General features: G+C 53.9%; 1 protein-coding gene and 1 pseudogene across 4 annotated transcripts in view, besides 3 other annotated features; one reads left to right on the forward strand and one right to left on the reverse strand.

Moving 5' to 3' along the window:
- Positions 1-4,575, reverse strand: TMT1AP1 (thiol methyltransferase 1A pseudogene 1; annotated as a pseudogene).
- The window catches only part of KRT7 (keratin 7), a 22,611-nt gene continuing 11,182 nt past the window's right edge, over positions 4,537-15,965 (forward strand). For 2 of the 4 annotated variants that reach the window (XM_011538325.3, NM_005556.4), the window contains exons 1-6: positions 4,537-4,914; positions 6,449-6,660; positions 8,803-8,863; positions 9,974-10,069; positions 12,766-12,930; positions 14,306-14,431. In XM_011538325.3, coding sequence (XP_011536627.1) covers positions 4,591-4,914; positions 6,449-6,660; positions 8,803-8,863; positions 9,974-10,069; positions 12,766-12,930; positions 14,306-14,431 — 984 coding nt within the window. In that variant the 5' untranslated portion in view covers positions 4,537-4,590. Of the gene's footprint in view, positions 4,915-6,448; positions 6,661-8,802; positions 9,012-9,973; positions 10,070-12,765; positions 12,931-14,305; positions 14,432-15,665; positions 15,868-15,965 lie in introns of those variants that run through there. The other 2 variants (XM_047428827.1, XM_017019294.2) reach the window with 2 other exon arrangements.
- Positions 5,123-6,098: an enhancer, noted in NCBI's record as "H3K27ac-H3K4me1 hESC enhancer chr12:52627613-52628588 (GRCh37/hg19 assembly coordinates)". NCBI's record gives its function as "activates a minimal SCP1, AML or CMV promoter by ChIP-STARR-seq in naive H9 embryonic stem cells {active_cell/tissue: H9 hESC(naive)}" and the evidence as "EXISTENCE:reporter gene assay evidence [ECO:0000049][PMID:30033119]".
- Positions 14,135-15,110: an enhancer, noted in NCBI's record as "H3K4me1 hESC enhancer chr12:52636625-52637600 (GRCh37/hg19 assembly coordinates)". NCBI's record gives its function as "activates a minimal SCP1, AML or CMV promoter by ChIP-STARR-seq in primed H9 embryonic stem cells {active_cell/tissue: H9 hESC(primed)}" and the evidence as "EXISTENCE:reporter gene assay evidence [ECO:0000049][PMID:30033119]".
- Positions 15,504-15,933: an enhancer, noted in NCBI's record as "active region_6397". NCBI's record gives its function as "activates an Ori minimal core promoter by ATAC-STARR-seq in GM12878 lymphoblastoid cells {active_cell/tissue: GM12878}" and the evidence as "EXISTENCE:reporter gene assay evidence [ECO:0000049][PMID:35858748]".

Below are 15,965 nucleotides of genomic sequence, written 5' to 3' on the forward strand. Positions count from 1 at the left end.
TTAGAAAACCGGACTCTGTGATGGGATTTAGAAGACACCAGGTTGAAAGCCACCAATGGAGCAGCATGGTGAGAAGGTCTCTGGCCTAGAAATTAAGGTGCCTCAGTTTAGTTGTGTCTCTGCCATTTTTGTGAGCCATGTGTCTTTGCGTAACTCATTTAATCCCTCTGAGACTAATTTTCCCACTCCAGGAAAACTGTGTTGCTACACATAGTCAGCACTCTTAAAATCTCTTGAAATGTCTGTTGAATAAATAATGAACAAACAAATGAGTAAAGTGACTTGTCTAAGGTCGCCCTCAGTGTGAGCTGTGCCTGAGCCCACAGGTGTCCGGATGCAGCCTGATACTCCATCCAGGTTAGCACACCTCCCCCACTCACTCACCGGTCTCAGCACTCTGCACACCTCATGGAGACTCTGCTCCAGGTTCTTCACAGAGCACAGCACCAAGGTGCAGACCAGCATGTCCACAGAGCCATCGGCCACCTGGTGCGTGTTCTCCCTGGCAGCTACCACAAAGCGCTCAAACTGCAGGTGTTGGTTCTCTGCAATGCTTTTGATCAAAAACTTCTCAAAGTTGGGGTTGGGGTCAATACAGGTCACCCTGCACCCAGGTGGCTAGTACTTGAAGTTGGCCCCCATGCCACAGCCCACCTCCAGCAGGGAGAGCTTCTTGGAGGGGCCCACAAACTCCTGCAGGTTGCCAAAGAGCTCCTGCTTCTTGCTTGCCATCTGTTCTTTGTACATCACAGTGAACCTCACCAAGAAGTAGGGGAACCATTTTTGCACATCCAGTTCTACAAGCCCATAAAGTTCAGCAGGTACATGGGAAATGCTAGGATGTCAATGGCCAGCAACGAGGAGGCCCAGGAGACACTGCTGACCAAAGGCAGAGAGAAGTGCCCAGTGGCAAAGGGGATACCGCTCAGATGGGGATTGCATTGGTGGTCACACCCGACCCCAAGGATGTGGCTTTCTCCAGTAATGCTTTGCAGGCTAGAGCTCGAGGAGAGGAGTCTGAGGTTTAGGCTGAATAGGGCTGGAGATTTATCCACGTGGGGACTGAAGAGTCAGGGGTCAGAGGGTGAGAGTAATGGTCAGGGAGCCTGAGCTGGAAAGAAAGGTGAAAGGAGGGTGGTGGGTGGGGAGAAAACGGAACAGCCAAGTTCAGGACTGGGGGTGCTGGTGTAGCTGAGGAATCCACCAATGACAGTGAGAGTTATTATCAATGGTCCTGCAGTTTAGGATCTAGAATGTGACCTCAGGTGTAGGCAAGAGAAAAAGGATGCAGTGAAAGAATTGAGGAGCTCAAGGAACTCAAAGGGTAAGATGCTGGGTGGGTCATTTGCACTGAGAATGAGGGAGCCCGGGGTGGAGAGGAAGCAGGACCCAGGTGCCAGAGTCCACAGTGAGCATGAAGGGAGTCAGGTCAGTAGGTGGCTGTGGGGCCAGTAGGGATCAGCCTCAGGGGAGAGAGGCAGGAGTGGTGCAGCTGGATCACAGGAGCCCACAGGATTTTTAGAATCACAGTGATCTGTGCAATCAATATATAAAGGTTAAAAACTCAATCAGTATATAAAGGATTTTCTTTTCAACCAATAGCATTCCAGTGAATGGTCAATTCACTGGATTAAATGAATTGGTCAATTCCTTTAATCACTTCCCTATTGACAGGCATTTAGGATGTTTCTATTTTTTCACAAATATACCACATTCCAATTCGAATTCCAAGATAATGAAAAAATTAATATTTTTTTTCTTTATGAGTCAGAGGACGTGTTTTTAGGGGATAGACAATGAGTAATAGTTCTCTAAGTGCAGCAAGGAGCCAAACAGAATGCCTCCTCTCTGGGAAAGGAGCAGCAGGGGCCACTGGGGCAGAGGTGTCTAGGGCAGGTTTAGCAGAGCCAGGCAATGTGGAGGACCTGGGGCTGCTTTGAGTTCATAGCTCAGTTCTAGAGCATGAGGTGGGACAGCTAGGAGGGTGGTGGGAAGACAGTGGGGGTGTGCTTGGCTGTGTGTGTGTGACAGAGTGCTACGGAGACAGGAGCCTGCATTTGGGGCAGGCAGATGACCAATGGGGAAAGACTGTGGGAATAACTCGCCTCATGATTCTGCCCAGGATTTCCTAAGGTGGTCTTGGTGAGGCCAACAAAGTCCGGGTGGGGTGGAGACAGAGGCTGGATGGATGGGTGAGCTGTGAACTCTTGTGGGCAGGAATCTTATCTGCAGCCTCTCAGGTTGGCAGCGCTTTGGGAAGCCCTCCAGAGGATGTTTGCGTGTGCCACCTGGCACAGAGTGGGCTCTTAGTGCTGGCCTGTGAATGGAGAGGCAGGAGGAGACTGGCCAGGGCTGGAACGGCCTGGAATGCTTCAGAGAGGGGAGGAGAGGCCAAGGGGTGAATGTCAGGCAGGCCCTGGAATGCAGAAATGTTGCTCAAAGTGGCCCCCACCCACAACCCCAGATGTGAGCCTGAAAAGCCCAGAGACCTTTTCTCCTTCCCATTGTCCTCCCCAGTCCTCTCTAGGTATGGAATCTGGAGATTTCATCTTGGGTGAAAAATCCATGGCCCAGGGAGGGGCAGTGACATGTCCAGGGCCTCAAGGCAACAGCAGTGCCCTGACAAAGATTTCCCAGCCAGGCTTTAGGGGAGAAGTGGATGCAGGAACTCCTGGTCTAGGTGGGCACAGCCTCCAGAGCGCAGATCCTGTAGGGGGCTGGAGATGGGGACGGATGAGAGGGCCAGAGGCAGAACTTGTTAGTGGAGGTATGGGAGAGCAGGCGTTGGTGTGAGAGGCAGTGGTAAAAACAGAGTTGAAGATGAGCCCTGAGGGGTGAGGAAGTTGGAGTGTGTGTGTGTGTAAATTAAACAATTGGTCTTTTTTGCCTGCTTGGGCGTTGGGGAAGGAGGGCAGTGAGATTCCTATGAATGCAAATATCACAGGACCAGGTAATCCGTATGCTCTTCAAGCTACAACCAGGCACAATTCCAGGTCGAATCTCTCTCGGTCTTATGCACACATACATGCTCCACAGCCGATACCACAGCAGGTCTCCTTGGGCACCCCTCCGCCTCTGGCCTGAGCTGACCCAACACCAATGGCTAGGGTCAGGAGGGGAGGCAGGGAGGGAGGCTGGTGAGCCTTCACTAAGATCACTGAGAAGGAGTGACAGTCTTTAGCCTCACTGGAAGTCCTTGTGCTTTAACTGAAATGGCCAAGCAGGAAGGACATTCCGTCCCCACCCTTGTCTCCCCCAAGGGCTTAGGTCTGAGGTAACGAACCTGGCCAGCTTATTGGGAGGGGCTAGAGGTGGGCTAAGGGCAGACGGAAGCCAGGCCTGAGAACAGGGTGTGGCAAGCATGGCTGGCCCTACCGGGAAGTGAGGCCAACACTCAGGCTTTGTCCGGTATTCGGTTCCAGCACTAGGATTACCCCTCTTGACTGGGTTTGAAACTGCTGGGAATTGTTTGGTGGTGGCTTCACGGGAGAAAGATGATGAAAGCTGAGGGCCTTTAAACAGGAAAATGGTGGAGGGAGCGGGAGGAGAGTTGAGTGCTAACAGAAGCACACGCACTCAGGCAGGCATGAAAATGTGTGCCATTGTGTAGCCACAGCTGCCCCCTCGCCCAGGATGCACGCACAGACCCCCATCTGTGTAAGCAGGCTCAGACATGCGGGTGCATATGCCTGGGGGTGTGAGCACAGCAGAGCCCAGAGGCCTGCAGGCGTGTGCACACATCCACAAAGTGTCCACACATCCACAAAGTGTCACAAATACACACAAGTGTCCCCTTCCTGTACAGGGACGCATAAAATAAATGGGCAGGAATATGAGTGGAGGGTCCGGGAGGTGAGGGTCCAGGGTAAGCATTCCCAAGGTCCCTGGGATTCCGATGCCTACTGGAGTGGGGAGGGGAGGAGCCAGAGGTGCGGTCGGTCGTGTGTCTCTCTCAGCCTAGTTTCTATGGGAAATGAAGTAGGAAGGAACGCAGCCAGGGAAACTAGCTGGGCCAGGAGGGGTCAGACCCCTGAACAAGTGAGCTGATCTCTCAAGGAGGAGCTGGATCGGTGTGAGGGAGAGCGGTAAGGAATGCCTTTCTGGCTTCAGCAGCCTGGAGGATGGGGACGTCTGGGCGTTGACTCCTGGGTTGGAACTTTTCAGCCCACCCCTTCCCCCAGTCTCTTGCCACTGGGTCTCTCTGCTTGGGCCTCAGGGATCTCTAGGTTCTTCACTCCCTCTCCAAGCATCCTCCTCCGGGAAGCCTTCCCTCACTGAGTCCGTTTCCAATGGGCTGGAACTGCGGTCCCCCGCTGTTCTCTGCGGCCGTCTAGGGATGGCGCTCCTGCCTACTCCGGACCATCCCTGCTTGGACTGAAAGCCTGGGCTTCGGCGGGGCGGGCGGGCAGAGGGCGGAGGGCGGCCCCAGGAGGGGCCTGGCAGCAGAGAAAGGTGGCCCGCGGCAGCCCCGCCCCTACCTGTGGAAGCCCAGCCGCCCGCTCCCGCGGATAAAAGGCGCGGAGTGTCCCCGAGGTCAGCGAGTGCGCGCTCCTCCTCGCCCGCCGCTAGGTCCATCCCGGCCCAGCCACCATGTCCATCCACTTCAGCTCCCCGGTATTCACCTCGCGCTCAGCCGCCTTCTCGGGCCGCGGCGCCCAGGTGCGCCTGAGCTCCGCTCGCCCCGGCGGCCTTGGCAGCAGCAGCCTCTACGGCCTCGGCGCCTCACGGCCGCGCGTGGCCGTGCGCTCTGCCTATGGGGGCCCGGTGGGCGCCGGCATCCGCGAGGTCACCATTAACCAGAGCCTGCTGGCCCCGCTGCGGCTGGACGCCGACCCCTCCCTCCAGCGGGTGCGCCAGGAGGAGAGCGAGCAGATCAAGACCCTCAACAACAAGTTTGCCTCCTTCATCGACAAGGTGAGCGGGACTGGACCTCGCCTCTCCTCGAGCCGCGCTCCAGACCACACCAGCCGCCCTAACTAGCCCTGCCTGCGCGCGGGCCAGGCGCTGGGGAGCACTGCCGCCCTTCTGTCTTTCCGCCAGTGTTGGGGACACGATCTGGGGGTCCTTCCTCCTTCGCATGAACCCCGTGGCTATTTTATCCCCTCGGTTTCCAAGCCCTCCCTTCCAGCAAGCTGCCCAGCTGCCCCTCCCTTTCCTCCCGGAGTGCGGGCCTGAGTCCTGTAGGGCTGCCCTCGCTGGCTGCCTGTTGGTCACCTGGACCAGTTTTGCCTCGGACTAGGAGTTCCAGAGGCCTAGGCCAGGAGTTCTCTCTCTGGGACCCTTTCCCTGAGAGAGGACCGTGTGGAGTCAGGAATGGAGTTGGATGGCACGCCCTTCCCAGAGGGGGAGACCCAGGCTCTCTCAGATGCTGATGCGGATGCAGATGCTGGAGATTAGAGCGGCAGTCGGTGGGGCGGGGGAGGGGGGGGGGCTCCCGCCCCTCCCCTCCCCCACCTGCCTGGTCCTCCAGCCTCCCTTAGGTGGCAGGAGGAGAGGTTATACCTGCCCTTGAAGACAGCCCAGTTGGGGGCAGGGAGTGGCAGAGAGGGCCCTCAAAAAGGGGTCCATTTTGGAGATATTTTTCCTGGCTGTTGGCCTCCGCCACACATGGGGCCGCTGGAGGGGGCGAGGGCAGACTTGACTGGTGGGTTTGGGAGGAGTGCTGCCAAAGCCAGGAACTCAGGGCTGGCCCTGCTGGGCTGTTCTGGCCAGGGCCCCCTTCCTCAGCTTAGACGAAGTGTACTCCCACACCCGCCTCCCTCACGTTCTCCTTTCCTTCGCCATTCACCCAGACCGGTCTTTTAGATTTCATAGGGGCCTCCCCAAGCTGCTCCAGGCCCAGGTTCCCCCATGTGTTGAGCTGCACCGTCTTACTCTCTGTGGTCCCCAGGGCCTGGGGCCCTGAGCTGCTGGTTTTGCAGAGGCCTCTATTGCCTCCCACCTCCAGTCATACCGGCTACTCCTTAAGGGCCTTTGTGGGCTCCAGGCTGGGGTCATTTTACCATGGATTGACTGTCCTGAGGCCTTGCTGGAGAAAGGGGAAGGAGAGAAAGGATATTGAGGAAGGAAGAGAAGAGGTCCCAGACAGAAGGGAGGGCTGGGCCTGGTCATCCTCATGATCCATTGACAGGAAGAGGTGGCTGTTCAGATAGGGAGGTGGAGAACACCACCTGTAATGTGATGGGGAGTGAAGTGGAGAGGAGGCCCTGGAGCACATTCGTCGAGAGTCAACCACGGGGCACTTCCGTGCACCAGGCAGACCTGCTTCCTGGATCACTCTGTAGGACACTTGATTTGGAGTCCAAAGGGAGAGGGCTGGAAGCCCCAGGCAGGGAAACAGCCAGGGGGAGCATGGCTCTGCTAAGTGGCTAAAGATGATGTTCCTCAATCCCGCTGTGGGTGGCACGCTCTGGCTCCTCTTGAGTTTCCTCCTTCTCGCCCGTTCTAGGTGCGGTTTCTGGAGCAGCAGAACAAGCTGCTGGAGACCAAGTGGACGCTGCTGCAGGAGCAGAAGTCGGCCAAGAGCAGCCGCCTCCCAGACATCTTTGAGGCCCAGATTGCTGGCCTTCGGGGTCAGCTTGAGGCACTGCAGGTGGATGGGGGCCGCCTGGAGGCGGAGCTGCGGAGCATGCAGGATGTGGTGGAGGACTTCAAGAATAAGTAATGCCCCCTGTGCCACATGCGAAGACCCCTGCCCCGGGCCAATGTGACCCTCATGAGCTGACCCTGTGCAAGTCCCCCTGCTTCAGGAATCAGCATGCAGCTGCTCAGTCCAATAACTCCCTGAGGGGCCAGTCTTGACCAACACATTTCCTGCCTTTCCTCTCTCCTCTTTGTCCCTGGGGGCTGTTTCCAAATCATTCTGGTCTTTTCCCCTGACTCAGTCCCAGTGAAATGTCTCAGCCCAGCCCTGACCTGCACTGTCTCCTTTGGGTGTCTGACCAAGGCCCCGAGAGAGAGTAGGGCAGAAAGTGTCTTCTGACAGGGGTGCTTCAGAACTGGTATGACCTTCACAGATTATTCTAGAGCAACTCTCTTTTGTTCAGGTGAGGAATTAGAGACCAGAGAAGTTTAGGGACTTGGTTGAGCTCACACTGCAAAGGTCACTGGGAGAGCTGGGACTTGAATTTTAGGTCCCTGACTCCTAGGAGAGGACACAGAGCCAACTTGGGAAGCAAAGAAGCAGAGAGGGAAAATGGTCATTGTGAGCCATGCGAGGGCCGCAGAGGCTGAGGGTGGGTCTGGTCATGGCAGGAGCCAGAAGGAGGCTCAGGAAGGCTGGGACTGGGGCTTTTGAGGACAGGTCTTTTTGCACTCTTTTCTCATTGAATAGAAACAAAAGCCTGAAGCTCAGGCTGGGCCCCACCCTGGCACACCTGAGGGGCACTGGGGCAGTGAGTGAGTTCTGTCCCCTGCCTGTGGCTGTGTGACTAAGCAGGAGTCACACATTGGCTCTGACTGGAGGAGAGCAAACAAGGTCTCTGTGGAGTGCCCCCCCCCAACACTCCCACTTCCCTAGGGCAAAAGTCAACAGGATTAGTCCCATAGCAGGTGGAACCAGACAGGTGCAGAGTAGGGAAGGTGTGGGGCCATCATTCAGCCCCTGTTGTCAGGACTAACGTGTGTGCATGCGTGTGTGCATACCTGGTGCCCACCCCCATACTCCCCCCACCCCAAACCCTCAGAGCACCTTCCTGTGGAGCCAGTCTGAGATCCAGGCTGGGACTGAAAGAGGAACTGGAAGGGAGTCCAGGGAAGGAGTACAGGGAGGGTCCCTGTGTGCAGCTGCTCAGGGAGTTCCGATCTGTGCACCCTCTTGACCTGGCTGTGCACTGCCAAGGCAGGGGTGGACGGAAAGCCTTGCAGATATTTTCCAGCTTCTACAGAACTTGAGGGAGTGCAACTTTGAGGGTATGGGCACCTCCAACCCTGAGTCTGGGCTCCTGAAGGGGCTTGGCCTACCTGGATGTCCTGCCTTCCACCCCAGGTTGTCCCTACTGCTTCCAGCAGCTCTTGGAACTCTTGTTTCCAACACCTTTTTTTGAGTCTCAACATAAACATTAGATTAAGCCATTGTGGTCTCTTCCTCTGTGCCTTGTTTGCCCAGGTCCTCCTAAGGGCCAGGAGTGGCTCCTTGGGAGGAAGAGTGATGGGAGCTATGGGAGGAAGGATGGGGGCTGGATCATCAGGCGGGACCTGGTTCTTTCAGGACTTTGTGTATCCCTCATCCTGATTCTACAGGGTTCCTCCCCTTCAGACTCCTTCTTTGCCCCTGAGGGGTGGGATTAGGTAGTGATTAGGGCATGGCTGGAGTCAGCTGCCAAGGTTCAAGTCTGGGCTGTGCCACTTAGCAGCTTAGTGACCTGGGCAGATTACGCTGCCTCTCTGTGTCTCTGTTCCCTTCTCTGATAACCACAGTACCATCGTTATAGGTTTGCTGTGAGGATGAAATGAGCTCATGCATAAGAAGCACATAATGGTGCACACCCCATAGAACACAGTCTCATGCATATGGCTGTTATTATTTGCTTTTTTTCTCCCAGGACATGCAGCTTTTGTGCTGTCATTCACATGTTTCCTATGTGCCCCACCAACAACCCCCCATGCCAAGACTCAAAGCCCTAGGAATGGCCGCGTGGAAGTCAGGGAAATTTGGTTTTGTAGCTGACACCTGTTTTTTCAGGTGTGTCTTTAAAGAGTAGGGGAAGGGAGGCAGGGCAGATTTCACAGCTGCATATGGCGGAGGGGGGACGGGAGCATGGAGGCAAAGCTGCATCAACACCAGGCCCTCCTCTACTGTAGGTACGAAGATGAAATTAACCACCGCACAGCTGCTGAGAATGAGTTTGTGGTGCTGAAGAAGGTGAGTGGGAAAGACAGGCTCGAGGAGGGTTGTCTGAAAACATGGGACAAAGGACCACAGGATCCTCTCACCTGAGCAGCCCATGGGGACCTCTGGCCAAGGCCTGCCTGAGCTGTCCAAGAGGAAGTCTGCACAGCCTGTCCTGTGGGTGCGTGTATGTGTGTGTGTGTGTGTGTGTGTGTGTGTGTGTGTGGTGACTGATTAGACTCATTTCTAGGCCTCTAGGGGTTAGAACTAAGAGCAAAGGATGGAGATTATAGAGGGAGATTTCAACACTGAATAAGGAGTGCTCTATTCAAGCCAGAACATTTTCATCACAAAGGTGTTGCTTGGCTGGCCTGAAATGTTTGCTGAATGAATGCAATGAGCTGCCTCGAGCCAGCATGAGCTCTCTGTTCCTGCAGATGTGCAAGCTTGGAACGCCTTAGAAGTATCTTAGGGGTCTTGTCTACATGCCCTTTAAGATTCTCTTCAATACACTGAGCAGTTGGTGTTCCAGGCCAAACCACAGAATTGCAACTTGCCCCTGGGAGCTGGGCCCTTGGAGATTCAGGAATGAGTAAAAGTGAGGCCTGTCCGTAGGAGTTTAAGCTTGAGAAAGTGCAGCTGGAAGAGGCTCAGACACCATCTTCACCTGGGGTGTTATCTGAGGCCCACCTGCATCATAGTTACCATGCTGCAAATTAAAAACATAGCTTGGAGATTTTCCATCTCTGGGAGCGGGGCTGGGAATCTGAATGACTTTGTGTTCTGCTACTGACTGACGAAAAGTTGAGCTCCCAGAGTTGAAGTGATTTGTTCCAGGTCACACGGTTAGTAGGTGGAGCTAGTGGTGTTGAAACCATCTAGGTCTTTAGGAACTGGTCAAGTGCTAGGTTGGGGCTTCAGTTGCTCTGGGATACCAGTGCTGATGCCCACCATGCAGTCTGGAGGGTCAGCAGGGCAAGCTTCATGCTGTGACCATGTACAGCAGCTGTAGAAACTGTTTCTGGGTAGGGCAGTAGTATTTGGCCTGTGGGTTGGACAGGGCAGGCCTGCTTCCACCCCTACTAAATGTTCCCTGTACTGAGGACATGGTCTCCCTCTGCCCCATCTTGCCCCAACCCCCAGGATGTGGATGCTGCCTACATGAGCAAGGTGGAGCTGGAGGCCAAGGTGGATGCCCTGAATGATGAGATCAACTTCCTCAGGACCCTCAATGAGACGGTGAGGACCATGGAGCTGGGTGACATGTCTTATCCTACCCATTCTAACCAGGGAGCCATCTGGTCCAGCCCCCCGCCTCTGTGTCAGTCCAGATATGTGTCAGTGTGAGAAACAAACTCATCCGTCCAAACCCAAAGAATGGACTCAGAGACCTGGAGAACAGCGAAAGTGAGATTTTAATGACAGTCTTGCAAGATGGGTGTCTGATGGGCAGGCATGCCCAGCACAGCCACAACAAGCAATTTATCCTCTAGTGCACAGGTCCCTCCCTCCGTTCCTCACAGGCTGAGTACTATGGGGTCACGATCTTCCTGGACGTTGTCTATTGGTTGTTGGGTTGGGGCTTTAGGTGTTTTTTTTTAGGTTGTCTTGCTGCATTTTATTGCAGCCTACAATGCATTGCAATCCTAGTCAGCTCAAGGGCTCTTTAAGTATTTGACTTATGACCTAAGTAGCTGGGCAGGCTGATAAGAACAGAAAAAGTGAGCCATTTTGCAGGCTAGAAAACCTTCATTTTAGACTAAACTTCTTTGGTTCAGGTGAGGGCAAGAGAAGCTGGGGGCTGACAAGCAGGCACTGGCTATTCAAGCAAAGGGCTAGTATATCCTATTTCTTCTGTAGTTTGCTGACCTAAGCCAATTTAAAGCACTTTGTCTTGGAAATGGACCATTATATACATTATTTCCTTCATCAGGGGTTGCGAGGATTTATCCTGCCCTTTATCCCTTCTGGACTCAGGAATTCAGGACAGGCTAAGGATTCGGGAGGAGGTGGGGGTGAGTCAATCAGGATTGACCTTGGAGAGACATGGGATGATCGCAGCATTTCTAAGGAAGGGGGATTGGGTGGGACTGGAAGGAACCAGGAGGAGGTCAGGGGACTCCAGGTTGTGACAGGGTTCAAAGGTGGGCTAGGTAGGGCCAGCAGGGGAGCCCAAGTCAGGAGAGACTGGATTGCCTGAGCATTTACTCCCAGAGGGGCTGGGTGGGTAGCTGCCTGCCAACTCACCACTCTAATGTCCTCCCTTCCCTTCTTATTCTCTCCCTCTCACCCTTGTCCTCCGGGGTTTCCAGCTCTTTTTCTTCAAGGGGATTTAAAAATCTCTCCACTCTCATCAGTGTGAGTCTCTGGCCTTAGGCAGAAGGTAGGGTGGCCAGTCACCTGGCAGAGGCTAGGCTGGGCATAATTAGCTTGTGAGGTTAATTACAAACCAGTTCTTCAGCCTAGTCTTTGCCTGAACGTCCAGTCTCCACCAGCCCCTCAGAGCAAATGTCCACAGATTCATTAATTTCAGGGGAAGTTTCTTTGAGGCTTGCTTCAGGCACTTCTAATCTCAGGTCTTCCTGGGTCTATCACATGGTTTATTTATGTGTAAACACACATGTGTACACACACACACACACACACACACATATATATAAAGTTTTCTTTTCATGGTGAAAGTTTAGTTTATTTATGTGTAAACACACCTGTGTGTATATATATAAAGTTGTTTTCATGGTGAAAGTAATACATACTCATTGCAAAACAACCAAAAAATTAAGTAAATCGTAAATTGAAAATGGATTACTTGGCCAGGCGTGGTGGCTCATGCCTGTAATCCCAGTAGTTTGGGAGGCCGAGGTGAGTGGATCACCTGATGTCAGGAGTTGGAGACCAGCCTGGCCAACATGGTGAAACCCCGTGTCTACTAAAAATACAAAAATTAGCCAGGCATGGTGGCGGGTGCCTGTAATCCCAGCTACACGGGAGGCTGAGACAGGAGAACTGGTTGAACCTGGAAGGTGGAGGTTGCAGTGAGCCAAGATTGTGCCACTGTACTCCAGCTTGGGTGACAGAGCAAAACTCTGTCTCAAAAAAAAAGAAAAAAAAAAGAAAATGGATTACTTATACCCAATGCTACCATCTTTGTGTCTACCTTTCCAGACTTTTCTGTGCTTACATATACATAAAGATATAGAAATATACATTTTCAATAAAAATAGCATCATGCTTTATTTTAATTTTTATTATTATACTTTAAGTTCTAGGGTACATGTGCACAACGTGCAGGTTTGATACATAGGCATACATGTGCCATGTTGGTGTGCTGCACCCATCAACTTGTCATTTACATTAGGTATTTCTCCTAATGCTATCACTCCCCCCTCCCCCCACGCCCCCGACAGGCCCCGGTGTGTGATGTTCCCCGCCCTGTGCCCAAGTGATGTCATTGTTCAATTCCCACCTATGAGTGAGAACGCATCATGCTTTTTTTAATGCAACAGTATACCATGGGCATATTCCCCACAGGTAGTTGGAGCCATATCATCGGTGTACAGACTGCAGAGTATTCTGTAGCATGGTGGAATATGATAATTTCATCCATTCCCCATGGCCTCCCTCACAATAGAGCTCGTGCACCTACAGAACCTCACAGTGAGAAGTCACCACAGCGCACCACACTGTCCCTTTCCTTATCCCCTTTAACCCTGCCAGATTCTCGTTTGAGACACTGCTAATGGGCCCTCAGGGAGCCAAGGGTGGGCAGAATGAAGTAACTTAATGTGTGCTGGGTCTGGGCCCCCTTGCTGCCTGGTGACTCAGCCCACTCCCAGCTGTTCTCTCTTTTCTTTCCTTTGTGAGTGGGGAATCCCAGGGTGGGCGTGGGCATAGGATCCTGCCCTAAGTCCTGATGTCCCGTCTGGTCCCTACAGGAGTTGACAGAGCTGCAGTCCCAGATCTCCGACACATCTGTGGTGCTGTCCATGGACAACAGTCGCTCCCTGGACCTGGACGGCATCATCGCTGAGGTCAAGGCGCAGTATGAGGAGATGGCCAAATGCAGCCGGGCTGAGGCTGAAGCCTGGTACCAGACCAAGGTGTGAGGCCACCAGGGGCGTATTTCCTCCTGCCAGGGTCCTTGGTGGCAGCTTCCCTTACTCCTCAACTTGTCTCAAGCCTTCAGGGCCTGGGTCCCACTGTTCTGGCAGGCACCAGTGGTTTAAGTCTGTGGTGCTCAGCCCTGGAGAAAATCCCAAGATGGGAGGACAGGGCAGAGGAAATAGATATGGATTAATCATTATAATAGCTAAAATATGGCAAGTACTTACACAGTACTAGGCTCATGTAATTATTGACTCATGTAATCCACAGAACAGCCCTATTAGATAGGCATCATTATTACCCCCATTTTGTTTTATTTAATTTAATTTATTTTATTTCTATTTTTTGAGATGGAGTCTTGCTCTGTCACCCAGGCTGAAGTGCAGTGGTGCGATCTTGGCTCACTGCAACCTTTGCCTCCCTGGTTCATGTGATCCTCGTGCCTCAGCCTCCTGAGTAGCTGGGACTACAGGTGTGCACCACCATGCCTGGCTAATTTTTTTTGTATTTTGAGTAGAGACGAGGTTTCACCATGCTGGCCAGGCTGGTCTCAAACTCCTGACCTCAGGTGATCCACCTGCCTCGGCCTCCCAAAGTGCTGGGATTATAGGCGTGAGACACCGCACCCAGCCTATTACCCCCATTTAAAGATGAGGAAATTGAGGCACAGAGAGGTTAAGTAATTTGCCTAACTGCATACAGCTAGTAGATGGAAGAGCAGGGACTAAATCCTGAATGTGAGGGCCCTAGACCTGGGAGGCTTAATCATCACATCTACTTCATGGTGGCAGGACAGTTGATGGTGCAGGGGCTGAGGGAGCAGGAGTGGGTGCTGGGGTGAACCAGTGTTCCTGAAGAAGGGATCCCGAGGCAAGGATTGAGAGGTCTGCCCCTGCAGAGATAGAGAGTCATTCATGGTGCCTGGGTGAGAACACAAGTATGCCAACAAGAAGACCTGGGTTCAGGCCCTCGTTCCATCACTGATTGGCTGTGTGATCCCTGGGTGGTGCTTTCTCTTCTCCAAGACTCACTCTCCTCACCTGTGAAATGGGTGTTCTGGGTGTTGAATGGGTGCGAATCTCAAACTCTCAGTGATTCTCCAGCAGAAGGGCATGGTGGGAGTGGAAGAGCCCTGGGGTCCATGGGGATGGGACTGCGGAGCCTTGTCTGTCCTCCCTGCCTGGCTTGGAGGAGAATGAATCCCTTCCTCACACTGCTGTCTGGTCTCCTGGCATCGGGCAAAGGTTGATGGGAGTCAGACTGTCCTTCCCTGAAAATATAAGTTGGGAGGGGCCTTGGGTGGGGAGAGGGATGAGTTACCTGTACTCACTGCCCATCTCTCTGCCATAACTCTCTGTATGGCCCCTCCAGTTTGAGACCCTCCAGGCCCAGGCTGGGAAGCATGGGGACGACCTCCGGAATACCCGGAATGAGATTTCAGAGATGAACCGGGCCATCCAGAGGCTGCAGGCTGAGATCGACAACATCAAGAACCAGGTGGGACAAGTCCTCCTGGCTTCCCCTGCTACTTGGGGCATGCAGGGGTGGCCAGCTGAGGCCAAACTCAGGATGTGGAGCAGGAGGTTCCCATCTCCCGGCCAAAGCTGGTGCCACTGTCTCAGACCCCCTTGTGAGATCTCCAGCACAGAATGTTCTTGGCCAGGTCCTGGCATGGGCTGATGGGAGAAAGGTCCTGGATGTGCACAGAGCCTGTGGAGGGAGACTCAGGCTGGCTGGCCAGAAGAAAGCCACCACTGGTTCCACATTGATACTGAGCACTCTGCTTGCACCTGGTTCTGGCTGCAGGGCGCTGTCCCTGGGAGCTCATCATTCATTGCAGGGACAGAGGACAGCAGAAGACCTTATAATGACTCACATGGCCCTTTCCCACCCACTCCAACCTCACTTTCCACGATTCCCCTCACTCTGCTCTGGCCATGCTAACCTGCTTCCTGCATCTTGCATTTGCCAAGAATGGTCATGCTTCAGGGCCTTTGCACTTGGCGTTGCCTCCCCCTGGAATGTGGTTCTCCCAGCTCTGTCCATGGTTGTTGTTTTCTCCTCCCTGGGGTTTAGGAAAAGACCCCTTCTCAGAGACGGCACTCTCAAACACCAGCCCCTCTATCGGCAGCCTGTCTGAAGTTCTTTGAAGCCCCTGTCACTCTCTGAAATGTTCTGTCTTATTCATTAAGTGATTGATGGTCCCTACCTCCACTGGAATATAACAGATGCCTGGAGAGCAGGGACCCTGTCTGTCTGGTTCACTGCTCCTCTCTTCCAGCACCTGGCACATGGCAGGGGCACGGGTCTCAGATGAGAGACTGCCTGGGAGGATGAGCTTTGCTGGAAGCTGGGGTTGGAGGTGTTGATGGGGGAAGGGCCCCCAGCCCTGGCTGAGTAGTGTGTGGCCAGGGCAGCTCAGCCTGTGCAGGTGTCTGCAGTGGAGAGAGGGGGAGGGCACACATGTGGAAGCTTCGGAAAGCTGATTTCCAGATGAGCTGTGGGTGGTGGGGGGATGTGAGGGTGATTTACCCACAAATGTCCTCCCCTTGGAGCCCTGTGGGCCTGTTTACAGGAGGGCGGAGGCTGCCTTGGGGCACAGAGGCAGGGCCGTGAGTCACCCCATGAAGTGGGCCAGCTTCCAGGCCAGGAGGGGAAGCACAGAATAACAAATGGTGGTTTCCCAAACCCTGCAGCCTCTACTACATCCGGTTCTCCTCTCACACAACAGGGCGGATCCAGGCCTATAGCCAGGTGTCTACCACCACTGAGGGGCGTCATGGGGAGCTACAAGGGGTCTCCAGAGGCAGCGGGGATGGCGTTGGCTCTGGGGGCACCAGTGTGACAGGGCAGGGCACCGAGCTGTGGCCGAGGGGCAGAGTGTCAGAGGGCCTCCTGGGGAATGCTGTCTCTGGCAGAGAGGCAGACTGCCTCCACTGAGGGAAGAGGATCTGAGGATAGAGAATGGCCGGTAAGAAGGGAGAGAAGTCCTTGCCCAGGGGACAGGGATGGTGGTTTTCTGAGCTAAACA

This window comes from Homo sapiens, chromosome 12, assembly GCF_000001405.40.
Source record: "Homo sapiens chromosome 12, GRCh38.p14 Primary Assembly".
Taxonomy (NCBI): Eukaryota; Metazoa; Chordata; class Mammalia; order Primates; family Hominidae; genus Homo; species Homo sapiens.